The sequence below is a fragment of the Homo sapiens genome, chromosome 17 (assembly GCF_000001405.40).
Source record: "Homo sapiens chromosome 17, GRCh38.p14 Primary Assembly".
Taxonomy (NCBI): Eukaryota; Metazoa; Chordata; class Mammalia; order Primates; family Hominidae; genus Homo; species Homo sapiens.
Window position 1 is genome coordinate 66,856,634 of NC_000017.11, and position 26,185 is coordinate 66,882,818.

At 45.2% G+C, this 26,185-nt stretch overlaps 1 protein-coding gene across 2 annotated transcripts in view, besides 1 other annotated feature; it reads left to right on the top strand.

Annotated features, from left to right (window-relative positions):
• The window catches only part of CACNG5 (calcium voltage-gated channel auxiliary subunit gamma 5), a 59,635-nt gene that overhangs the window by 21,517 nt on the left and 11,933 nt on the right, over nucleotides 1-26,185 (top strand). For both annotated transcript variants that reach the window (NM_145811.3, NM_001371476.1), the window contains exons 2-4: nucleotides 20,597-20,895; nucleotides 22,339-22,425; nucleotides 23,924-24,064. In NM_145811.3, the coding sequence (NP_665810.1) occupies nucleotides 20,700-20,895; nucleotides 22,339-22,425; nucleotides 23,924-24,064 (424 nt within the window). In that variant the 5' untranslated portion in view covers nucleotides 20,597-20,699. The remainder of the gene's footprint in view (nucleotides 1-20,596; nucleotides 20,896-22,338; nucleotides 22,426-23,923; nucleotides 24,065-26,185) is intronic.
• Nucleotides 21,996-22,206: a silencer, noted in NCBI's record as "fragment chr17:64874747-64874957 (GRCh37/hg19 assembly coordinates)". NCBI's record gives its function as "represses an EF-1alpha promoter that drives an FKBP-Casp9 reporter gene in an ReSE screen in phorbol 12-myristate 13-acetate-treated (for megakaryocytic differentiation) K562 erythroleukemia cells {active_cell/tissue: K562(+PMA)}" and the evidence as "EXISTENCE:reporter gene assay evidence [ECO:0000049][PMID:32094911]".

Consider the following 26,185-nt stretch of genomic DNA (forward strand, 5'->3'; position numbering starts at 1 on the left):
CAGGTTCAAGCAATTCTCCTGTCTCAGCCTCCCGAGCAGCTGGGATTACAGGTACATGCCACCATGCCTGGCTACTTTTTTGTATTTTTAGTAGAGACAGGGTTTCACCATGTTGGCCAGGCTGGTCTCAAACTCCTGACCTCAGGTGATGCACCTGCCTCAGCCTCTCAAAGTACTGGGATTACAGGTGTGAGCCACCACACCTGACCTCGTGTTGTCCCTTTATAGCCACACTGGCCTCTTCCTCTCTCCCCTCTCTGTCCCTGACCCTAACAACCACTAATCTGTTCTCCATTTCTTTATTTTTGTCATTGCAAGAATGTTATATAAGTGGAATCATGAAGTGAAGTTTTAAAGAAAATTATCATCAAAAACAAATAAACTTATCAATAGAAGAAATATAGAAAACACATTTTTATTTCAATTTTTAAGTTTTTTTTTTTTTTTTTTTTTTTTGATAAGGTCTCACTCTGTCACCCAGGCTGGAGTGCAGGGACACTACAGCCTCCTCCTCCCCGTGGCTCAAGGGATCCTCCTACCTAGCCTCTCAAGTAGGTGGGACTGCAAATGCATGGGCTATCTTTAGATTTTTTGTAGAGACAAGGTTTCACTATATTACCCAGGCTGGTCTTGAACTCCCAACCTCAAGCGATCCTCCCACCTTGGCCTCCCAAAGTGCTGGGATTATAGGCATGAGCCACCTTGCCTGGCCTGAGAACACGTTTTTAAACTGGCTGGTCCGTACACCAGCACTGTCCAATAGGAATGTAATGCAAGCCACATGATGTAACTGAAAGTTTTTTATAGCCACTCTAAAAAAGTATAAAGACACAGGTTAAATTAATTTTAATAATATATTTTATTTAGCCCAATATGCCATTTCAGCATGTGATCAATGTTTTTTAAATCACTGAGATAGTTTACATTCTTTATTCATACTACATCTTAGAAATCTGGGGTATGTGTTCATACTTACCGCATGTCTCACTTTGGACTTACCACGTTTCCAGTGCCCAAGAACCACCTGTGGCTGGCTAGTGGCCGCCATATTGGGAAGCTCCGCTCTAGTCCAGATTAGACCAAAATCAGATCATGAGTGCATGGTCTGCATATCTTTAGGCCTGTGGGGGACCTCACATGGGCTAGTGGCTCTTAGCCTTGGCTGCACATTAGAATCAACTGAGAGTTTTACAAAACACTAATATCCGGTCCCAGCCCACTCCATCCCACCCCCAGAAGGTCACATATAGTTGGTCTCAGAAGCAACTCAGCATTGGGATTATTTTAAATCCCCCCAGATGACACTCATGGGCAGCGGGAATTAAGGACCATTGATATATGGGTTTGGGGTTGGGTTCTATCCAATCCTGTCTGGGCATGGGCTCCTGGGAGAGGTCATGGGCACACCATGCCTTTTCTCCTCTCAGTTCCTTACCTGACTTCTTGGAAAGCAGACACTTTCCTCTCTAGCAGCTTCTGGGAGGTTCTGGGCTTTCTGGCCTTGCAACATCCTGCACCTCCCCGGCCCACCCCAAATCTCTGCCTCCTTCATCTAGAGGCTGGTTTTAGACTGGGGTGCACACAAGCTTCCCAACCCATGAGTGCCATCTTCTGAGGCCCAGTATTTTCCACCCTGGGCTCAGCCAGCCTGGTGGTCAACCTTGCCTCCTTTCTGGACCCGGGAGTGAAGACAGCCATTTGATGACAGCCCAGGGCCTACATCCTTATAGCAGCTCTGCAGAGGGACAGCCATTCCTGTATTATTGATGAGGCTCTGAGTGGCTGAGTGAGTTCCCCGATAGCCCCAGCTCCTCAACTCGCAGGACTAACAGTCCCAGGCCTGGGCCTCCCCCACCCGCCACGCTCTCCCCAGCACCTCTGCATCTGCCTGATGGGATCTCCAGCTGAGCGGCAAGCAGGAGGGGTGGCATGAGCCAGGCTGAGGTTAACGCTTGTCCTGCCTTGCACTTCTTTTTCCAGACCAGTGCTCTCCGATGCCCAGCAGCACATTGCTGGCTGAGGAACAGGGCAAGCTGCAGCCCCCCCTCCCTCCCCCCACCTTCTCACCAACTGTCTCCCAGGGGCCCCCTGAAGAGTGAAATCTCCCCCTGCATCCTGGCAGTGGTGTCCCTCCCCAGGCCTCTTATTCTGCCATCCAGTCAGGAGATAGTAACCACTCTTTAAAGTGACTCTTGAGAGATGAATTCAAGATACTCACAATGTTCTTTAAAGAGAGGTGGTCAAGGTGTGAATACCTTGAATTCATCACTCAAGAGTCACCAGTCATCTGCCAAGGCACAGCCTTGTGGTGACAGCAACCGCACCCTCCAAGGGCCACCTTCCAGGGCCATGAGAAGCGATGGCCTTTGCTGTGGCTCCTATATGACCTTGGGCTTCCTCACTCGTAGGGACATGCTCCAACCCAGGCAGCCAGGCGCTCAGCTGTGCTCAGACACCTTTTCATCTGAAGTCACGGGGGCAGAGATGGGGAGGAGAAAACACCAAGTTGAGAACTGACTCCTCTGAGAAATACATCATCCATTGTAAAGTTTTTTTCTCTCCTTCTGCATCTAGTTCAAGAGCCTCGCCCTGAAGTAGCTGGTACATCATTTCTCTTTTTGTACTCATGTTTGTGGGGCTAGAACTCAGGGCTTATGGCTGTTGTGTCTGGACCCCCAGCAACCTGTCTAGTTCCTCTGTTTGACTCAGTTTTGGGGGAGAAGCGGAGGGATAGAGTGTGGTGGAGGGAAGGAGAGGTTTGGGTATGTGTCCTACATATCATTAGAATCCTGGTTTACAGTAAAATGTGCTGGAGGCAGGAAAACGATGCTGGGAGGAGGTATTTATAGAAGCGCATCACAGTGCTTTGTAACCTGGCAGGGCCTTATTTGGTTGTCTTGTGAGAATCCTCCTTGGGCAGCACCGTGTTTCTCTTGAGGGGCGTGTCTTCTGCACGGCGCCGAGGCTGGCTCCAAGTACATCCTAGAGAGCTTTGCTAAAGCCAGATTGGTTTCCCTCCCCAGGCTTCTCCAATCCCTCCTTCCTCCCTTCACCCCAAAAGGAAGAATCAGCAGAAAAATACATTTTCTCTTGAAACAGAAATACTAGCTCTAATCATGGAGGGGGCTGGGCATGATCAAGAATAACTCAGTGTCCAGCAAGAAACACTCGGTTACTTTCTCCCCTCTCCCTCCTCCTTCTCCTCCCCCTTCCCCTCTTCTCTCCCTCTCCACCCTCTCCTTCCTCCCTTCTTCCTTCTTCTCCACCTCTTCCATAATCACTATTTTGTAAGGAAAATGCTGGGTTCGTCCATCCACCCGCATGATGCAAAGGCCCAGGAGAAAAGGACTTGAATCTTTAGCTCACTTATCTTAGGCAAGAAGCTGATACTGTTGAGAAAAATCAGGTCAGAGTTTCCATTTGCCATTCAGGAATCTCTGTTTTTCAGAAGTGAGAGTTTTCAAGGTGGTGAGCTAAGCATTCTGTCCAAGCTTACCTATGCAACCCCACGAGAACCAGGCTGAGAGGTGAATGAGAGACAGTTTAGTATAGCAGATAACTGGGCTAGATTGCTGGGTTCAAATCCCAGCTCCCCCAGTTTCTAGCTGGGTAAAGCAAAAAGCTTTACCATTCTGTGTCCCAACCTCCTTATCTGTAAAGTGGGGACAATAAGCTTGATAAAGATGAGCTATGCCACACCCAGACACATCATAGTCAAAATGTCAAAAGACAAAGATAAAATCTTGAAAGCTCGGAGAGAAATGTGGTTCATCACACACAAGGGAACTCCCCTGTAAGAGTAAGAACTGACTTCTCATCAAACACACTGGAGTCAAGAAGGCAGTGGGTCCGTCTATTTAAAGTGCTGGAAGAAAAAAAAAATATTGTCAGCTGAGAATCTTATAGCAACAAAACGATCCTCCAAAAATGAAGATGGAATGAAAATACCCCAGATAAACAGAAACTGAGAGAATGTGTTGCTGGAAGAGCCACTTGACAGAAAAAAAAAAAATGCTAAAAGAAGGTCTTCAGACTGAAAGCAAGTGACATCAGACATTAATTTGAATTCTCATAAAAAACAGAGAGGACCAGTGAAGATAATTATGTAGATCAAGCTTGTCCAACTCATGGCCCATGGGCTGCATGTGGCCCAGGACAGCTTTGAATGCAGCCCAACACAAATACGTAAACTTTCTTAAAACATTATATAAGACTTTCTTGACATTTTTTTTTTTTTAGCTCATCAGCTATCATTAATGTTAGTGTATTTTATGTGTGGCCCAAGACAATTCTTCCAATGTGGCACAGGGAAGCCAACCCTGATGTAGATAATTGGGTAAAAAAGTAATCATATATAATACATAAGCATTTTATATATTGTGCACATGCACGCACACACACACACACACACACCAGAAGTATAATTGCATATTTCTTCTCGACAGATATAAAAAGCCATTGTATAAAAATATGTATACAATTGAATTGTTGGGCTTATCACATACAGAATTGTAATATATTTGACAATAACAGCACAAAGGAGTTGGGAGAAGGAGAAGCCAAGCTGTATTGAAGTAAGGAAATGACATCAAGTGGTAACTCACATACACAGGAAGAAATGGAGAGAACCAGAATAATTAATTAAAAGGTTAATGTAACACATTTGTTTTAAAAGAAGACCTACGTGCACTTACCATGTGCCAGGCTAGAGTCTCTATTTTAAGCTTGTTACATGTGTTACCTCGTAACCCTTTAAAGAAGATGCCATTGTTATCCCTGTTTTAATCATAGTGCCTACTGCAAAGCGTTGTTGGGAGATGGTGTGAATTACTATGTGTAAATTGCTAGAACAGTGTCTGGCACGTGGTCCTGGTCCAATAAATGTCATCCTACTGGAATAGGGGTGCAGATATACATGGGTGAGGGAGGCTGAGGAAGGGTGAAAAGGCCCTGGCCTGGCTTCCTTGCAGGCTTCTGAAGCCTGGGTCTGATAGATGACCAGTGTCACTAGAATTAGATCAAGTCTGAACATTGTTTCTGTCTACACATATTAACACACAGGGTACCAAATTGTTTTCCATTTCTCGCTGGCTGTTATTGCACCCGGTAGCCATGGGGGCAGTGAGCATTTGGTGTTCAGCTGGAGCTGCCAGAGGTGGTGGCCCGAGCAGGCTCCTAATTGCCAACAGTTAAGACTTAATGTCACCGAATTATGAAGTTTGCCACCCCCGTTGCCACTATGTTTAAGTGGAATCTAAGGAAGAAGAAAGCATGCAATCCTGCCTTTTCTAAAGGGTGTTTTGCTTTCTGCAAATGCTGAAAAATAAAAATCAATTTCTGGTGTGGGAGTTGGGTGGTGGCTCCCTTCATCTTGGGGCTGGTCTTTGGGCTGGAGTGTTTCTCCTGCTGCTGAGGTCCCTGGTATGCCCTATGGCCGAGTTGTGACTTGGCATGGCAGAGAGTTGGGTTGTATCTGCAGGGCATGGCTGATGGTGGGTCCGGGAGTGATTCGAGTCATTAATTGGAGGAGCAGAAAGCCCCAAGAAGCAGAAATATTTGCTCAAGAACTCATCTCTATGTTGTTGGAAAAAGGCAGAATTTTTTAAATGTATGGATTAAATGGAAGAGAAAGATGGTCTCTATCTCTTCATAGGTACAGGTGTTGGGGAGACGTGAATAGGGTCTGTGCTTGGGGGCTACACACGCCCAGCTATGAATCCAATCCAGCTTGTGTCACTTACAAGTGTCACAATCCAGCTTGTGTCACTTACAAGCTGCCTTAGAGAGCTCTCTGTCTCTCTGTATATGTGTGTGTGTGTGCACATAGGCACATGTGTGTATGCGAAAGTGCACATACATAAACACATATATATAATATATAAAATGCTTATGTAGTATATATGATTACTTTTTTACCCAAGAATATCACACTTCCCACATTGAGCATATGGAACTTCGTCATATGTAATAGTTACAGAATATTCCATTATATGGTTGAATCCTAATTTATTTAACGAGCATCGCCCGCCCCCCTCCCCAGCATTGGTCATTGAAGCAGCAGAGATATGCTTCCACATGCATCTTAGCATGATTTTCTCAATATAGCCGTAAAGTACATTCATAGCTATGGAATTACTAGGTCATAGAATAATTACATGTTTAATTTTGGTGGATTCCACCAAATAGATATGTACACTCACTCCTACCAAGAGTATATGAGAGTGCTGCATCTTACAACCTTGTCTGCCAGCATATTCTCTGTGTGTGTGTGTGTGTGTGTGTGTGTGTGTGTGTGTGTGTGTGTGTCTCAGTCTCAGAAGGGGTTTACCAGTTCTACAGGTGGATATTGTATGTTTGTTTTTTATTCATTAATTTCTGCTGTCTTATTATTTCTTTTCTCCTATTATGGGGTTTATTTGCATTCTTTTTCCACTTTCTTGGGCTAGGTACTTAGATGGTTTACTTCTAGCCCTTCTTTTTTTTCTAATATATGCTCTTAAGGTTATGATTTTCCTTCTAAGCTAACTTTGCTTTACCCAACAAGTTTTGATAAGTTATGTGTCTATCATTATTCAGTTCAACAGACAAAGAGAACATCTTAAATTTAGTCAGAGAACAAAAGGCACATTAACTTCAAAGTAATTCTACATATAGTTCAAACCCACAAGATAATATTATTATTCCTTTTTTCCGTTTCACACTCACTGTTTTTTTTTGTTATTGTTGTTGTTGCTGTTGTTGTTGTTGTTTTCAGATGGAGTCTCACTTTGTCACCCAGGCTGGAGTGCAGTGGTACCATCTTGGCTCACTGCAACCTCCGCCTCCTGGGTTCAAGCAATTCTCCTACCTCAGCCTCCCAGATAGCTGGGAATACAAGCATGCACCACCACGCCCAGCTAATTTTTGTATTTTTAGTAGAGTCAAGGTTTCACCATGTTGACCAGGCTGGTCTCAAACTCCTGACCTCAGGTGATCTGCCCACCTCATCCTCCCAAAGTGCTGGGATTACAGGCATGAGCCACCATCTCTGGCCTACACTCACTATTTATTGAGATTTATACACATAATCCTCTTTTCATTGCTTCTCTTCTCTTCTGCATTTCTATGCTTCAATGCTGATCATTCTGCCTGAAGAATCTGTTTAGTAATTTTTTTGATTCAAGTCTGCTGATAACAACTTTCCTCAATTTTTGTTTGTCTGAAAATATTTCTATGTTGCCTTCAATGTTGAGGGATATTTTTACTGGACAGGACATTCTAAGTGGACGATTACTTTCTTTAAGCATATTAAAGGTGTTTTCATGTTATGTTCTGGCATTCATCATTCCTGTGTCTGATGTTTTCATGCCTCTTGATATGTCCGGTAACTTTTGATTGAATGCTAGACATCTGTGTGGAACACAATAGAAGTTTTGGCATTGTCATCTTCCCCAAGGTAGGATTCACTTTTGCTGTTAGAATCCTACCTTGGGGAATCTGTTAGATATCCTGTTAGAATCCTGTTGGCAATCTGTTAGATAGGAGAAGGTTGCCTATATCCAGTCATGAATTGAGCTGATTTGAAGATGAGTTTCAGTCTTTGTGAAGGCGGATCTATTACTTGCTCACCTAGAGTAGGAGCCTTCCCAGACCCCCATTTGAAAGATTGAGCTATTTACCAGACCTGTCCTCTTTGGCAAGCTCTCAACTCCAATGTTGAGTCCATAGCATCATAAGATTGCTGTGCCATCTGCACAACCTTTTGTTCTGCCTCTCAGACTCTCATTCTGTGTGAACTGACACATACCTCAACTGCAGAGGTTGTACAAAATATAAGTCTTATCTCAATGCATTTCCTTCATCTTCAGTTATTGACCTCTAAACTATTGGTTTCCTTGATTGCTCTCCAATGTCTTCAAATAGATTTAATCCAACTGTTTCAATTATTTTCAGCAAGAAGCTTGGTCCATGCTACATAAGCTAGTTCATTATCACCAGAAATGGAAGTCTGAACTCTCTTTTTATTTCCATTGATTGATTTATTTTTTCATCAGCATCAAACTGTTTTAATTTTTGTAGCTGCTCAATAAGCATGAATAGCTGGTAGTTCCCACTCATTTATGTTCATCTTTAAAAGAAATATCCTGGTTATTCTAAAATGCATCCTTTAGACTAACCCCAGAACCATGTGTCATCTTCTAAACCAAACTCATTGCATTTAATTCACACATTAATTTAAAGAAGAGTTGATATTTTTACAACATTGTATTCCTATTTTAAAATGTGATATTTTATTTATCAGTCTTGTTTTATGTTCATCAATATATATTTTTAAGGTGAGGTCTCACTATGTTGCCCAGGCTAGTCTTGAATTACTGAACTCAAGCCATCCTGCTGCCTCAGCCTCCCAAGTGTTGAGATTACAGGCATGAGCCACCATGCCTTGATCGTTCAACAGTAGTTTTAAGGTTTTCTTTATGTAGCACCGGCATATAACTTATTAAGTTTATTTCCAATAGTTTACCATTTTGTTACTGTATAGATATTATTTTTTAATGCATTACATTTTCCAACTGGCTATTTGTGTGTAGCTGTTTATTTTTTAATGTTATTTTTGTGCACAGCCATTTATCTCAACTCTTGTACTATTTTTATGTTTTTTTTTTTTCAGCTGGTTTTGATCTGGGCATGCATATGTTTACAGTGTTGCACAAGTGGTGATGATGCACCCCAGAAAATTTCAAATCGCTGATGTAAGACATTCTGCTTTACATAGGAGGTCTTGGAATTTTCTGGAGTATCATCAATAGTATAGAGCTCTCAGTCTAGCAAATCATGTAGCTACAGCAAACAGAGCTGAGCAGAGCCCAGGTTCCAAATTCTCAGTAGAAATAGGGACTCTTCTGTTATGGAGTTGTTTCAAATTCTCTCTGTCTATGTAGCAGGACATTTGTTGTACCTCAGGCATCAGGGGTAAAAAAATGCCTTTAAAATCTTTCAAATCAAGTCTGACAAAATTTCTTTTTTTTTTTTTTGAGACAGAGTCTCGCTCTGTCACCCAGGCTGCAGTGTAGTGGCGCGATCTCAGCTCACTGCAAGTTCCACCTCCTGGGTTCATGCCATTCTCCTGCATCAGCCTCCCGAGTAGCTGGGACTACAGGCGCCCACCACCATGCACGGCTAATTTTTTTTTTTTTTTTTTGTATTTTTAGTAGAGACGGGGTTTCACTGTGTTAGCCAGGATGGTCTCGATCTCCTGACCTCGTGATCCACCCACCTCAGCCTCCCAAAGTGCTGGGATTACAGGCATGAGCCACCGCACCCGGCCAAGTCTGACAAAATTTCTAAGAATGCTAAAACAATTCGTATTGTTTAATCCAGAAATTCCACTTAATTACACTTGCAGAATTTATCCTGAGAAAATTCTTGCAGATGCCCACACATATTTAGCTGTAAGTATGGTTATTTACTGTAGATTACAATAAAGGAAATTTTGGAAAAAACCTGGATGTTCTAGAGTAGAGAAATGGCTACATCAATTTTGGTATATGCAAATCAGAGACTATATATATTCTGCAGCTACTAAAAACAGTGCAGAAAATATTTATGCTATTAAGTAAAATAAAACTAGGCCCCACTATGGATGGTATGTGCAGTATGGTCCCTTTTTAAAATTTTTTTTGGCAGGATCTTGCTCTGTCGCCCAGGCTGGAATGCAGTGGTGTGATCATAGCATAACCTCGAACTCCTGGGCTCAGGTGATCTTCTCGCTTCAGTCTCCCAAAGCACTGGGATTAGAGCACTCCACCACACCTTACCTTCCATTTTATTTTATTTTTAAATTTTATTTTATTTTAAGTTCCAGTATACATGTGCAAGGTTTGTAGGTTTGTTAACCTAGGTAAATGTGTGTCATGGTGGTTTGCCACACCTATCAACCCATAACCTAGGTATTAAGCCCTGCATGCTTTAGCTATTTGTCCTGATGTTCTCCCTCCCTCTGCCCACTGCCTCCTGCACTGACAGGCCCTGGTGTGTGTTTTTCCCCTCCCTGTGTCCATGTGTTCTCATTGTTCAGCTCCCACTTATGAGTGAAGACGTGCAGTATTTGGTTTTCTGTTCCTGTGTTAGTTTGCTGAGGATGATGGCTTCCAGCTTCATCCATGTCCCTGCAAAGGACATGATCTCATTCCTTTTTAAGGTTGCATAGTATTCCATGGTGTATATGTACTACATTTTCTTTATCCAGTCTATCATTGATGGGCATTTGAGTTGATTCCATGTCTTTGCTCTTGTGAATAGTGCTGCAATAAACATATGTGTGCATGTATCTTTATAATAGAATGATTTATATTCCTTTGGGTATATACCCAGTAATGGCATTCTTGGGTCAAATGGTATTTCTGGTTCTAGATCCTTGAGGAATATCCATACTGTCTTCCAAAATGGTTGAACTAATTTACATTCCCACCAACAGTGTAAAAGCACTCCTATTTCTACATAGCCTTGCCAGCATCTATTGTTTCTTGACTTTTTAATAATCACCATTCTGACTGACATGAGATGGTATCTCATTGTGGTTTTGATTTGTATTTCTCTAGTGATCAGTGATGTTGAGTTTTTTTTCATATGTTTGTTGGCCACATAAATGTCTTCTTTTGAGAAGCATCTGTTCATGTCCTTTGCCTACCTTTTTATGGGGTTGTTTGTTTTTTTCTTGTAAATTTGTTTAAGTTCCTTGTAAATTCTGGGTATTAGACCTTTGTTAGATGAGTAGATTGTAAAAACTTTCTCCCATTCTGTTGGCTGTCTGTTCACTTTGATGATAGTTTCTTTTGCTGTGCAGAACCTCTTTAGTTTGATTAGATCCCATTTGTCAATTTTTGCTTTTGTTGCAATTGCTTTTGGTGATTTCATCATAAAATCTTTGCCCATGCCTGTGTCCTGAATGGTATTGGCTATATTTTCTTCTAGGGTTTTTATGGTTTGGGGTTTTACATTTAAATCTTTAATCCATCTTGAGTTAATTTTTGTATAAGGTGTAAGGAAGGGGTCCAGTTTCAGTTTTCTGCATATGGCTAGCCAGTTTTCCAAGCACTGTTTATTAAATAGGGAATCCTTTCCCCATTGCTTGTTTTTGTCAGGTTTGTTGAAGATCAAATCATTGTAGATGTGTGATCTTATTTCTGAGATATCTATTCTGTTACATTGATCTATGTGTCTGTTTGCATACCAGTGCCACGCTGTTTTGATTACTATAGTCTTGTAGTATAGTTTGAAGTCATGTAGCATGATGCCTTCAGCTTTGTTCTTTTTGCTTAGGATTGACCTTCCATTTTAAATGCATAGAAAATTTCTGCAAAGAAAACAATGATATAATTGCTATTATCACTACTTGGTTAGTACTACCTGGTTAGACAGCGCTCCTACTTGGTGTTTATGCCCATGCCTTTGGGGAAATATTGTGATATTTATGAGACATCTTGTTGGACTTTCAATAAAGGCACCGTCAGCTCTCTCTCCAGCTGGACTTCTTCTTTTGTTAAGAGCAGTGACCCTTGCTGGGTGCCTGTCATGCCCCTTGGTCCCTACGGAAAATGGACCTTCAGTTACCTTCTGCCAAACCAAGGATGAGAAAGTTGTATTAGACACTGACCTCCACTCCAGGAAGTTTTGGAATGCAGTGTGGCAGGGGTGTGCCAGAGCTCTGTATCCTCATCTCTGTAGCCTGGACTCCTGGCAGACAGGCTAGCTGTGGCTTTGCTTTTAGTCTTGGGGCAGAGAGAGCCTCACACTCCAAAAGCATAATCCTGGGGTTTTGTTTTTGTCAAAGGACAGGAATCCCTGCCTGGCAATGCTCACTCTCCAAAGGGCCTCAACAATGTGGCAGAGAGAGTTTGGTGGGGTCAGCAGGGAAAACAGGCCACTCATCAGGACCTCCATCCCTCATTAGCTGGCAGCTTCATGACCACTTGTTGGGGGCCAGTGTCTCTAACTAAAAGGATCCCAGGTTGGAAGAGCAGGACTGTAATGACACCTAGAGGTCTCCAGTCTCCAGGTGACACATCCCCTTCTGATGCTGAGTCCCTGCTGTGCTTGACGTGTCCTTAGTACGCACTTGACCCATGTTTGCTAACATCATATTTATTCTTTGTCTACTGAGACGCCACTGTGCCCACCATGAAGACACCTTTTATATCATTAAACAGAGCATTTTATCTCCTCACATCAGAAAAAACTCAAATCTCTCCAATTTGTTGATATGGAGATGAGAGAGGAGACAGGAGGGCTGAAATTTGCCAGGGATGGAAAATAAAATTCTGCAGGGAGCAAATGCCATGGAAGTTGGAGAGCTGGACAAAGAAGAGAAAGTCTGAGCCATTTTGCCCTTTTCAGGGGCAAATTTACCTTATTAAATCTGCCTTGTTGTTTATCGCTCTTTGGGTATCAGGTTGTGCTTCTTTTTTTCTTTCTTTCTTTTTTCTTTTTGAGATGGAGTCTCGCTCTGTCATCCAGGTTGGAGTACAATGGTGCAATCTTGGCTCACTGCAACCTCCGCCTCCCAGGTTCTAGTGATTCTTGTGCCTCAGCCTCCCGAGTAGCTGGGATTACAGGTGTGTGCCATCACGCCAGGCTAATTTTTGTATTTTTAATAGAAACAGGATTTCACCAAGTTGGCCAGGCTGGTCTCAAACTCCTGACCTCAAGTGATTTCCTTGACTCGGCCTCTCAAAGTTCTGGGATTACAGGTGTGAGCCAACTCGCCTGGCCAAGTTGTGCTACTTTCTGATTGCAGCATTGTACTGAGATGGCATGAGGTAGCCCAGACTTACTTGATAAGTCTTTCATAAGTCTTCACAATAACTCTTATGAAGTTATCCCTGTTTTACAGATGAAGAGACTGAGGTTCAGAGTGGCCATGTGACTGGCCCAGGATGGTACATGGGAGAGCCAGCATTACATCCCAGATTTGCCTACTTCCGTGTGCCATTCACTCCCCCATGTAGCTGTAAACTCCAGGGACTAAACTATGACCCTCAAGCCCTCTGTCACTGTCACGTTCTGGACAAGGCCATGCCTGGAATTTATATCACATCTAGGTAGTGAGAAGGAGCTAAGTAAGTGAATAAAGAAGTTATTTTGGTAACTTCTGTTGTGTATCAAATTATCTTGAAACGTAATGGTATAAGGCTGGGGGCGGTGGCTCATGCCTGTAATCCCAGCAGTTTGGGAGGCCGAGGTGGGTGGATCACGAGGTCAAGAGATTGAGACCATCCTGGCCAACATGGTGAAACCCCGTCTCTACTAAAAATACAAAAACTTAGCGGGGCGTGGTGGCAGGCTCCTGTAATCCCGGCTACTTGGGAGGCTGAGGCAGGAGAATCGCTTGAACCCGGGAGGCGGAGGTTGCAGTGAGCTGAGATTGCGCCACTGCACTCCAGCCTGGGCAAAAAGAGTGAAACTCCGTCTCAAAAAAAAAAAGAAAAAGTGTAAAAGAAAGATAATGGTATAAAACAACAACTGTTTTATTGTGCTCATGATTTTGCGGGTGTGGAATTTGGGAAGTGCTCAACTAGGCAGTTTTTACATGGAGTTTCTCATGCAGGTGCAGTCAGATGTTGGCTGGGGCTGCTGTTATCCGAAGGCTCGACTGGGCTGGACATCCATCCAAGGTGGCCCAATCCCATGGCTGGCAGCTAGTGCTGGCCACTGGCTGGAAGTTTAATTGGGCTGTCAAGCAGAGCACCTGCACATACTCTCTAAACAAGTGGTTCTCAACCAGAGGTGGTTTTCCCCTCAAAGGGACAATTTTGTCTGTCACAACTAGAGTGCTACCAACATCTGGTGGATAGAGGCTAAGGATGCTATAAAACAACCTTCAATGCACGTGATAGCCCCCAGCAACAAAGAAATATTCAGCCACAAATGTCCATAGGGCCGAGGTGGAGAAACCCTGTTCTAAAGCATGGTGGTCCCAGGGTGTCAGGTTTCTTACATGAGGCTGGCTTCCCCTGAGTGAACGCCAGAGAAAACCAGGTGGAACCTACATCTCCTCTTGTGACCCAGCCTCAGAAGTCACATAGCGCCAGGTGTGGTGGCTCACACCTATAATCCCAACACTTTGAGAGGCCGAGGCAGGTGAATCACTTGAGGTCAGGAGTTCAAGACCAGCCTGGCTGACCTGGTGAAACCCCATCTCTATTTAAAAATACAAAAATTAGCTGGGTGTGGTGTTGGGCACCTGCAATCCCAGCTACTTGGGAGGCTGAGGCAGGAGAATTGCTTGAACCTGGGAGGCAGAGTTTGCAGTGAGCGGAGATCATGCCATTGCACCTCCAGCCTGGATGACAGGGTGAAACTCCATCTCAAAAAAAAAAAAGTCACATAGCATCACTTCTGTGTACTTTATTTGTCAAAGCAGTCACAACGCTGCCTAGACTCAAGGACAGGAGACAGGGCCCCCGCCTCTCAGTGAGAGGAGTGTCAAAGATTTTGCGGTCATTTTTTCACAACCAAGGAAGATAATGGGGATTAGCATGGTGGGAAGCAGGCAGGGCCAGAGAAGCACTGGGGGTTTTCCTCTGGTCACCAGCCCATCCTGCTGGACACTGGCTACGCTGACACTGAGTCACTGGACAAGCTCCCAGGAGCAGCTCTTGTCACTGGCTCCAAAGCTTTGTCAAAAACCCCTACACCATGAACCTTTTATCAAAGCACTCTGAGTTTTCTCTGAGCCAGTAGGAAACTGAGATCAGGGTGTCTGCATTTGACTCTCTTTCCACTTCCTTCCTCCTTCTCTCCAATTAAACCCCATCCATCCTTCCCAGCAATTGATAACTGGGCTCTCACTTGCTCCTCTAACCTCACCTACCTCTGGGCACCTAAGCACTTCATTGCAAGTCCTTTTATTATTGGCTTGAGCAGGGGAATGTGCCATTAATGATTTAATCTCCACAAGACATTTCTCCCTAATTGCTAGTCATGGATGATAATTAGCGACTGTTAATTCCTGATAATTAACAAGCTAATACTTAGAGGTAATGGCGCCTGGGTAATCATCTTAAAAAGCTCCTGTTTCTACTAAAAATACAAAAAAATTAGCCGGGCGTGGTGGCAGGCACCTGTAGTCCCAGCTACTCAGGAGGCTGAGGCAGGAGAATGGCGTGCACCTGGGAGGCGGAGCTTGCAGTGAGCCAAGATCGCACCACGGCATTCCAGCCTGGGTGACAGAGCGAGACTCCATCTCAAAAAGAAACAAACAAACAAACAAAAAACTCAAGAAGGCTGCCTGCTTCTGGAACCCAGCCCTCAAAAGATGACACTACATGTTGCCATCTCCAGCCCAGGAGTTTAGCTGGAGCCCTGCACTTTTGTATACAAGGAGAGTGATTGGAGAATAGATCACTCTAATCTTTAATTTAGTTTTCTTCTCTGATTCTGGAAACAATACATGTTCTTTGAGAAGCTTTGTTGAGCACAGAGAAGTATTTTAAAAACCATGCATAACCTAATTACCTGGAAGCAGCCATCATCAACATTTTGGGTTATTTCTTTCCAGTCTGTGAATTTTGTATACGGTTGAGTTTAAGTTAAAAGTGTGATGTTGCATTCAACTTCATTAATTTACTATTATAGTGTAAACATTTTATCTTGTGATAGCAACTTATAAAAAATGGCTCCTCTCCTATAAGAAAAATCAAATGAACATGAGATTCATGGGATAGAGAAGGAACCATGTAAAAGCAGAAGCTCGAACAAGGGTCTAGGAATACAGTTCAGACTAGGGTGTCTTCAAGGGCCTTCCTGTCCCTACTGAAGACACTGGGTGAGAGAATATGTACACACATGCACAACTACGTAGAAAAAAAGACTAAAAGGCAATGAACTAAGATATTAATGATGATGGTGTTCTAAGAGTGGGAAAGTGCAGGTAATTTTCATTTTCTGTGTTATATAATTTTCTGCGCAATACAGAAGGAAAAAGCACTGGGTCAGGATCTAAACTATTGCTGGTGCACACTTTTATCTTTTCAAGTAACTGTTTGGGTTATCCCAGGCACTTCTCCCCTCTGGATCTTGATTTCCTGTGTGTGCTTTGAGGAAAGTATTAGTCCTGCCACCCCACTAGGTGGGTTTCAGAAGTAGAAATCCTGGGTCAGAGTGCACCTCCAAGAAGCTACCAGAAGATATGACTGGATGACTCCCAACAATATGCCCTATAGTATCAAACGAGAAGCCTTTATGTGACACTTGGCCACTTCTAAAGAAACATTTCTGAATACTGTGTCTCGTACATTTCTAGATAGCCTGAGTGACCTACTTTGGATTATTTTCCTTCTTCCCAACACTCTTTGAGCCCATATTTCTTCAGTAGCGAGATGATGTAGTCCAAGCATAGACTTTGGAGTTAGACCTGGGTTTAAAGCCAGCCTACGGCTCACCTGTGCTTTCCTGTAGGCTACTCCACATCTCTAACCCTGAGTTTCTCCATCCACAAAGTGGGGCTGATCCCACCTACTCACAGGGTTATCGTGAGGTCCTGATGAAACCCTGTACCTGAAGGATTTTGCACAGTGCCTGGGAGCTAAACCTACTCAGTCAATAATATGATTTATTTATAAATAAATAGGATTACATAATAGAAGCATAGATATAATTTTGTAATGAATAAGATTGCTATTTTCCACCCCAGGTAGCATTCCATAAATGTATTACATACTCTGGAAATAGATGAAACTTTTTGGTTTTCCTAGGTATATTCCAGGCTTTAGGATCTGCTATTGTAGAGTTTGGCAGGCAAGGTCACTTTCAGCCTCTTTTATTTCTCGCTTTTGTAGATTAAGATCCAATCTCCTCTCCACTTTCATCTTTCCAAATCTCCAAACATGAATCTTTTTCATCTCCCTGCCAAGCTTAACATTAAGATTGGCTGCTCAGCTTCGACCAGGCAACAGCAGTCGTGCTTCAGAAGCTCTGATCCATTCTCTCTGCAAGACTCAGGGGCTTAGTCCACTGTTGCTTAATAACAATACCTTATACCAGGATCATGCTTTAGACTTTTTTCAAAGCATAGTCATATCTGCTGTCGTGTTTAATCACACCAGCAATTTTGTGGAGTGAGCAAGGCAGGTCTTCCTATTCTTCCTGGCAGGCAGTGTGGTTCCCAAAGTGGGTTTCACAGAACATGATGTCTTTTTTTTTTCTTTGCTCAAATAAGTTTGGAAAATACAGAAATAAGCAAAGCTAAGCAGGCTTTTCAAAGCCTTTACCATAATGTGCAATGCGGTTCTTCAAGAGCTAGGTGCAGTGCTTCTCACAAGCTGTTTTTTTTTTTTTTTTCCTTTTAACCAGAGTCACTTTTTCTAGAATATTCCATGGAATTATTGCTCCATGGACCCCACTTTGGATAAACTCATGGGGTGGGAGTTTGAGAACGCAAGCCTTGAAAAAGGGCTTGGGAGTGGGGCAAGGTAAGGTTCAAATGCAGGCACCAACATTTGCCAGCTGAGTGCTCTTGTGCAAGCTTCTTAACCTCACTGATCATCAGTTTGCTCACCTGTAAAATGGGTGTGGTAATAGAATAGCCAGGATTAAAATGGGGAGTAAGGTGCTTAACAGGATGCCTAACAATGATAAACGTTCAATGTACTTTGGTGTTTATTATTAGTCTCTTCCTCCATGTTATCCAGGAGAAAATCAGTCTTCAGAGAGTGTCTTAGTTTGTTCTGTGTTGCTATAACAGAATACCTGAGACTGGATAATTTATAAAGAAAAGAGGTTTATTTAGCTCTTGGTTCTGCAGGCTGAGACGTTCAAGGCCATATCCCTGGCCTGTGATGAGGGCTTTCATAGGGCATCACGACAGAGCAGAGAAGGGCAAGAAGGAAACGGAGAAAACCTGAGGCTTTATAACAACTGTCTCAAGGGAACTAATTCATTCCTTCAAACTAATCCAGTCTTCGAGGGTGAGAACTCACCACCATGAAAACAGCACCAAGCCATTCCTGAGGGATTCCATGACCCCAGACACCTTCTGCTAGGCACACCTCCCAACACTACCACATTGAGGATCAAATTTCAACATGAGCTTTGGTGGGGGCAAACAAACCACCTTATCCGAACCATAGCAGAGAGGTTAATTTCCCAAGCTTACATGGATCTTTAGTGGCACGGTTGAGTGTAAGTTCAAGGCTCTGTTCGCCTTTGGGAGCCATATCCCTTTGTTCTCCACTGCTCCCCTTACTCCTGCTAACCATCCTTGGTGTTTCAATTCCATTTCCTTTGGCAGATGTTGGGACTTTGTGAGCTTCAAGTGTAAATGACAGGGTTTGGCTAACTACTATTAATATAAAAATACTATCAGTACAACGTCACTAGCACTTCCCACCAGTCGGCAGCAGCCTTGCCCTGGACCTCTGCTAGGAGTTGGCTTCTCTTCCCCAGGACCTGGGTTCTGCCTGTTATGATGCTACCCCACCTTCAGTCAGAATGGGATGCTGTGGTTTCCCATTTTTCCAGCTCGCAAACTCTGCAAGCGGCAGCACCTCTGATTTTGTTGCCTCTTCCTCAGCTGCAAGCACAGGGCTTATAGGCGCTTTACTAGATACTCATGCTAGATACAAACTGTCCTGCTCCCCTCTGCCCACGCTGTTGCATGGAGAATGATTTGGCTGGGTGGAGAGGGCTGTTTGGTGTTTCATTTCTCCCTCCTTTGTCAAAGCCAACACAGGAAGGATCATTGTGGCTTAAAGCCCTGTGCTCTTCAGCCTTGCAAACATGGACATAGACTCACACATGCCTCCAGGAAGCCAATATATGGCTCACTCTGTAGATCAATCAACTTTCCCATGATCAACTGCTAGAGCAGGGCCGGCGCTGTGGAATCAGGGCCAGCGTGCACCCCTCAACCCCTTCTCACAAAGAGGCTCTAAACTCTGCCACTCTCCTCCTACAGTCAACTCAGACTCTGCAGACAAATCTGGCTTCTGTCCATTTTCAGCTGCCTCAATACCCACCTGTGCCTCAAATCTCAACTGGAACATGATACCATCCCTGGGGCAGGGCCCTAGGACTCCACTGGAGCCCTGATATTGGTGGACTGCACCGAAGCACTGCTGCACCTCTTTCCCAAACATCACTAACATCCAGTTTCAAAAGTTCTGACTTTGCAATATTGCAAGGTGCCAGTGAAAGATGCCGACAGGATAGCAAACTTGCAGCCAAGGGTGGCTTGGGTGACACAACCTTTCTGAGTTGCCCCAGGCCTCATTCTCTTCTAGAGATGGCTCTGCCTGCCCCCTCCAGCCCCACTGGATGACCCCTTCTGGGCCCTTGTCATATCCTGGGCTTTCCCCATCATAGCAGTTGCTACATTACAATGCCATCAACTGTTTGCTTGGCACAGCACTTCTCAGATTTTAGTAGGCAGACAACTCACCGGGATCCTGTTAAAATGCAGATTTCAATTTAGGATGTTGGAGAGGCCAGAGAGTCTACTTTTCTAACCAGCTGCATGGTGATGCCTACATGGCTGGTCCATGGACCATACTTTGAGTAGCGAAGATCAGTTGTTTTGAACTTTGGCTACACATTAGAATCACCTGGCAGAATTTAAAAAATACCATTGTCCAGGCCCCACTTGAGCTCAATTGTATCAGAATCTCTTGGAGCAGCACCAGGGTATCAGGGATTTTTAGACACTTCCTAGGTGATTCTAGATTACAGCCAGAGCACAGAAGCCCTGAGACTGGCTATGGGCTCCACGGGGGCTGGCATCCATCTGCCTTGCTCTCCACTGTTTTCCAGCTCCAAGTCCAGTGCCTGACCCTGGCAGATATCAGCAGGTGGGGCTTGTGGTTGACCTTGCTTAGACACTTAGCTTCTCTTTTTCTCGTTCATTGCTGGCCCCTGCCGATACAGCGTGCTGAGCAGGTAAGAGTCAGCCCATTTCTGATTAGGTGGATTTAGGAGGCTGTTGCACTTGGACTGTGGTATGGCTTCTTTACTTGTGTTGACCAAGTGCTGCAACTTATTAGAGTCACATGAGGAGGACACTTTCCTCCAAGAAATCTTCCCTGCCTCTCTACTCCTTCCCAAGGCTGCTGCCATTTTCCTGTCTGGAGCTGGCATCTCTCACAGAGACTATTTGAGCCTCAGAATCCTTTTCAACACAGAGAAGCTCACCCAGCAGAGTTGTCTCCTCCATTCTTCCTCTCTACTTCCTGGACAGGTCTCTACCACAGCCCTCAATAGGTCGCATTTAATTGCTTTGGGGGTGCCTTTGTTCTTCTAGATGGGAAACCCTTCAATGGCAAGGATAGTGTCATGTTCATTTTTGTATCTCCCATGTCTGGCACAATGGGTTGCTGAATGAATGAATGAATGAATGAATGAATGAATGAATGGCAGTACCCAGCAAGGGGACTCCCAGAGAGGACAAGGGGGTCCTTGCAGTGGCATGCCAAGAACGCTCTGAATTGCTGCGGGGTTAGGGGGAGGGTGGCACCTCTGTTGCAGTGACCTGGTGTCCAGGGGGTTGCCTGGTGGTCTTTACCCATCCATTGAGCCAGGTTGGGGTTTGACTTTAGTTACTGGCTCCTCATCTTCGTCTTCTCAGAGCCGTGGGTACTGCCACCTGCTCACCCACTCTCCCTAGCCCCAGAGCGCAGTCCGTGCTGGTGGGAGCGTGGCGACTAGTTGCACAGCAACGGTCCAGGAAGATGAGTGCCTGCGGGAGGAAGGCCCTGACCCTGCTGAGCAGTGTCTTTGCTGTCTGTGGCTTGGGCCTCCTGGGTATCGCGGTCAGCACCGACTACTGGCTGTACCTGGAGGAGGGTGTGATTGTGCCCCAGAACCAGAGCACCGAGATCAAGATGTCCCTGCACTCAGGCCTCTGGCGGGTCTGCTTCCTTGCAGGTAAGGGTGCCCAGGGTTGGGGACAGCCCTGCCCCCTGACATCACCTGCCCCAAGAGGTCCCTCCCTGGGAAGAGATGGCCAAGAGATGCTGGAAGGAGACCATTCACCACGGATGATCCCTATATATGGCGGGTGGTGCTCCCTGCAGTGACTGGGACCCCATTCCAAACTCAAGTCCTGATTCTCGATGTCCATTTGAGCCAGTCTTTTCACCTCCCAGGTCTTCCTTCCTGAAAGATGAATGTAACTATGCCTTCCCCACACTCTGCTCCCAGGACTGGATGCCAATGACACTGCACAGATCTCAAATGTTCATGCATGCTTTAGCTCATTGAAGTATTGATCCCATATAATTCTCCCAACAGTACTGCAAGACAGGACTTGTTATTTCCACTTTGCAAATGCAGAAATGAAGATTCAAAGAGGTTAAGTCTCCTTAACTCAGCTTCCTTGCATCCACTAGTTTATAGATTAGAAAATACTTGGCAGTTTCTCTGTTCCTCACTCCATAAAATGGCACAGAGGAAACACATGAGCAGGTCCCTCCAGCTCTGCAGCATGGTAGAGGTTTTGACCCCACTTATCTGGGCCTACCTTTTTACTCACTAGGGCTTCCCTGTAACCCTTCAAGTTACCACTCCAAGAATTCTATCCTTTATCCCTTTATCATGACCCAAGACCAGCCTGCACAAGAAAAGCATTTCCAAGTCATACAAGAATAGCTGCAAGCTGGGCTGGCCTGGATTGCCACAGTGTGGTCACTGGGCTTTTCTTGGTAGGGGCTTGTAACTTATGTGTGCACTGGGAAGAGACACAGTTTGGCTCTCCCAGCCTTTTACCTCCCAGCTTGATAGTACAGCTTTGGGGGATGGAGTGGGTATTTGTTCCTACCAGTATTTAGCAGAGAAGACACCTCAAGGTGTTGAGTCTGCCATGTGAATGACATCCAACTCTGGCTTCTTCTGCCTCAGACTGCGTGGCATTGGTCTGTGCTTAAATCTGGAGTTTGAAGTCACTAGGATCTGATTTCCAGGGTGGTTGACAGGGCTTTTGGAGTTTTGCTCCATGACACCCACACTGGAGAATCTAAGTCAGCTATGCACCATTGTCAGCCCCATCTGGCCAAACGCAGTGAGATGGCACCAGATGTTCACTCAGCATGGAGAGTTTGCAATACCAACCTCTTTTCATGTGACTCTTGGTGCTTGGGTCCATCCTCACACAGGCGCTTCTCCAGGAAGGTTGTCATGTCAGGACGTGCCTCCACCCCTGCTGTGGGCTATGAGCCAGGGACAGGACCCCCATAGGGTTTGGATCCAGCTCAGGTGCAAAGACACAGCAGGTCAAAGATCCTAAAAACACACTTGGAAATACCATTTGTATGGACCAACTTCAAATCCATGTTCAAGAGGGACCTGGAAATGTGATTCTTGTCTCCACAGGTGAGGAGCGGGGGCGTTGCTTCACCATAGAATATGTGATGCCCATGAACACCCAGCTGACATCCGAGTCCACGGTCAATGTTCTAAGTAAGTGCCTTGAGTCTGGCAACCTGGGCCACTGGCTGGACAGAGAGGAGCAAGGCAGAGGGAAGAGTCAGTGTGCCAGCATATTTCTCAAGAGGAATGCCCTTAGACTCAGCTGGGTGTGCTGTCCTGTTAATTAGAGATGATCCACTAGAGCTTAATTTTCCAGTAGTGAAAACAGGTTGCTGGAGTCTCCCAGTCTACTGACCCAGGCATCAATCAGGGAACTGAGCTCTCTGGACCCCAGGGAGCCTGACTTCATGGCCTTGACCTCAACAGAGTCGTTTCTGCCCCCAGTATGAATTTGCAATATTGCAATGCAATTCTGATGCTAATCACCTGGAGTTAACAGAGACTCCACAGGTTTAAGGTCTCAGTCCCCAAAGAAACTACCCTTATTTCAGATGCCAGCTGCAAGTTCAGAGGTCCCTGGCCTCCTGCACTTCTGACCAATTAGCTCCAAATATGGGAGCTCCCATAACTCCATCAGGTTCAATAATTGCAAAAATGACTCACAGAACTCGGGCAAGTGCTATACTTACCATTCCAATTTTATTACAAAGGACACAAATCAGGACCAGCTAGATGAAGAGACACATAGGGCAAGGTCTGGGGGTGGGTCCTGAATGTGGAGCTTCAGACTCTTCTCTCCATGGAATCAGGTTGTGTCACCATCTTCACACACTGATGTGTTCATCAACCAGGAAGCTCAACTGAGCTTTGGTGTCCAGAGTTTTTATTGGGGTTCATTACATAGGCATGATTGATTACATTATTGATCATGTGATTGAACTCACCCTCTAGCCCCTTACCTTGCCTAGAGGCCAGGCTGATATCACCTGGCTCAAAACCCCAATCTTCTAATCCCATGGTTGGTGTTTCTAGCCCCCATCCTGAGTCACCTGGTTAGCAAAAACTCAGGTGTGGTTGAGAGACCCACCATGAATAACAAAGACACTCCCAACCTTGGAAAATTCCAAGAATTTAGAGGTGATCTCTCAGGAACCAGGGACAAAGACTAGCCCCAACAGAATTGCTCCCCAAGTAATTATAAGTTGAAGAAAACAGAGGCTGTAACTGTCCCCTGCACCATTCAGAGCAACCCCTTGCCCAAGGAAATGGTGAATCTGCCTGGAAGAGGAAGCAAGATGGAATGACCTGGCCCTTCCACAGCTGCCATATTTGCAGGTGGTATGGACTCCATATTGGCAGACAGTGTGGACTCCCAGGAGGGTAGTAGCTTATGCCTGGAGGAAATGACAGAGGCCCTGAAGATGCTGGCACTTGAAGTCAGACCTTCCGGGCCCACCTCAGGGACAAAAGCCCTGCTAGTAATGGGAGATCCCCAGGCCACCTGATGGGGGTAGAGTCTGGGGAACCCCTGCAGGGGTGGGGCTTTGAGGACCAGTTGGTAGACACTGCCAGGAACACTCAACTCAGGATGATGAGGAATGAATCAGGCCTGGAGGCTGACAGGCCGCCCTTTTGTCCCGTTAATTAGAGATGATCCGCTCAGCCACACCATTCCCTCTGGTCAGCCTCTTCTTCATGTTCATTGGGTTTATCCTGAACAACATCGGACACATCCGTCCCCACCGGACGATACTGGCCTTTGTCTCTGGCATCTTCTTTATCCTCTCAGGTAAGTTGTGTTGTTTTCTTTTCTTGCACCCTGGAATTTTTTGTTTTTTGTTTTTTGTTTTTGAGACAGAGTCTTGCTCTGGCACCCACGCTGGAGTGCAGTGGCACGATCTTGGCTCACTGCAACCTCCACCTCCCGGATTCAAGCAATTCTGCCTCAGCCTCCCAAGTAGCTGAGATTACAGGTGCCTGCCACCACACCTGGCTAATTTTTGTATTTTTAGTAAAGATGGGGTTTTTCCATGTTGGCCAGGTTGATCTTGATCTCCTGAGCTCAAGCAATCCAACTGCCCTGGCCTCCCAAAGTTCTGGGATTACAGGCATGAGCCACTGTGCCCAGCCACCCTGGACTTTTGCTGTTTAACTCCCAAAAGGCTCTGCATTGGAAAGTCCTGGAATTAGGATAGGCTGAGTCAGTTATTCAGACAGAATTGAGTCAGAGATGGAGGAAACATCTGAGGACCCTGGGCCCATTATTACCTTCCAGAAGAGCAACAGAGGCTCCACAGGAGGGGTGACTGCACAGACTCCCCTCTGACAAATCTGGGATTGGAACCCAGGGTTCCTTCCTCACTCCACACATCACTGCACCTAATGACTTTTTAATTCCCACCATCTTGAGTATTCCTATTTTTGAAGGGGCTATGTCTTCATATTTGTGCATGAATATTAAACACAATCTGCCTTTGGAATAATGGGTCCTTTACCCCCCATCCCCCAGCTGTCCTCAGGAGACTCCTGCTGTCTCCTTCCCTCTCCAGTCACACCCCACACCATAAACCCTCCTAGACCCCTTCAACATGGACTTGTCTTCCTGGACTGATGCCAGGTTGTACTTCATTCTTTCTTCTTTTTATTCATTGATGATATCTTCCAGGCCTTATTCTGGCTGCTGGCATCACTGCCTACAAAAAGGGCAGTGCAATGGGAGATAGAAACAGTAGACAGAAGATAGGAACCCAGTGTGAATAGGACTATGAATGGTGGCCAGCAAGGACTGCAAGGGGGCCAAGACCAGTGACTGAAACTCAGGGCAAATGTTGGTCATGGAAGACTACCAGGAGGAGGCAAACTAAAGGATGAGTAAGAATTAGGCAAAGAAGTGAGGTTGGGGGTGGGGGTGGAAAATGGGCCTGGAGGAAAGTGGGAGGATGAAGCACTGGGGGAACTGAGTGTAATCATTGCTCATCATGGCAGGTGCAAGGAAAAATGTAGTGAGAAGAGAGACTGGGGAAGGCATCTGAGGTCGTCTTATGGATTCGGGACTTTAGGAGAAGACTTAGATGGATTTTGAGCCAAGGGATGACACGATTGGGTTTGGATTTTCGAATGACCATGCTGGGGAATGGAGGGAGGGAGGGAAGTAAGACAGGAGGCAGGGAGACTAGGCAAGAGGCTATTCCAGTAGTAGAGGCGATGGCCCAAACAGGGGGTTGATGGTGGAAAAGAGAGAAATGAGAGGGTTCAAGTGACATTTGAGAGGTAAACTCAACAGAACTAGGATGAGGCTTCCAGGGAAGAGTCAAGGTAAGTGCCAATTTCTTGCTTGAGCACTGGGTGGATGGCATATCACATCATTGATTCAGGGATCACAGGAGGAGCAGATTTGGGCAGCTCATGAGTTTAGTGTGGGAAATGCTGAGTTTGAGGTGTCCTTATGACATCTGGGAGGAGGTGTCCAGAAGGCTGCCAGAGGTCAGTGTCTGGGGCTCATGGGAGTGACTTGGACCAAAGATAGAGATTGGAGAGCTATCAGCCTAGGGAGTGGGAGAGGAATCCATGGACATGGATGAGATTACTCATGGCTGGTGTGTAGAGTGAGAAGGGGAAAGAAAACAGCAAATAAAGGTGGGCTCTTTCTCCTTTTCAAGGTGACCTGTGCATTTTCATGGAGACCTTTTCTTTTGGAGATAACGACTTGGGCCAAAGGAGTGGCTCTCGGGGCATGTAATTTAGGTGCCCCGGATGACTGACTGGTTAGGGATCCTGGGGAGAAGATGCTTGGATGGAAAATGGATGGGTGAATGGCTTGAATAATTGATAGATGGATGGATGGATTGGTGAGTGGATGGGCGGATGGGAAGAAAGGAAAAACAGCTATTGGATACCAAGCATTCTGATT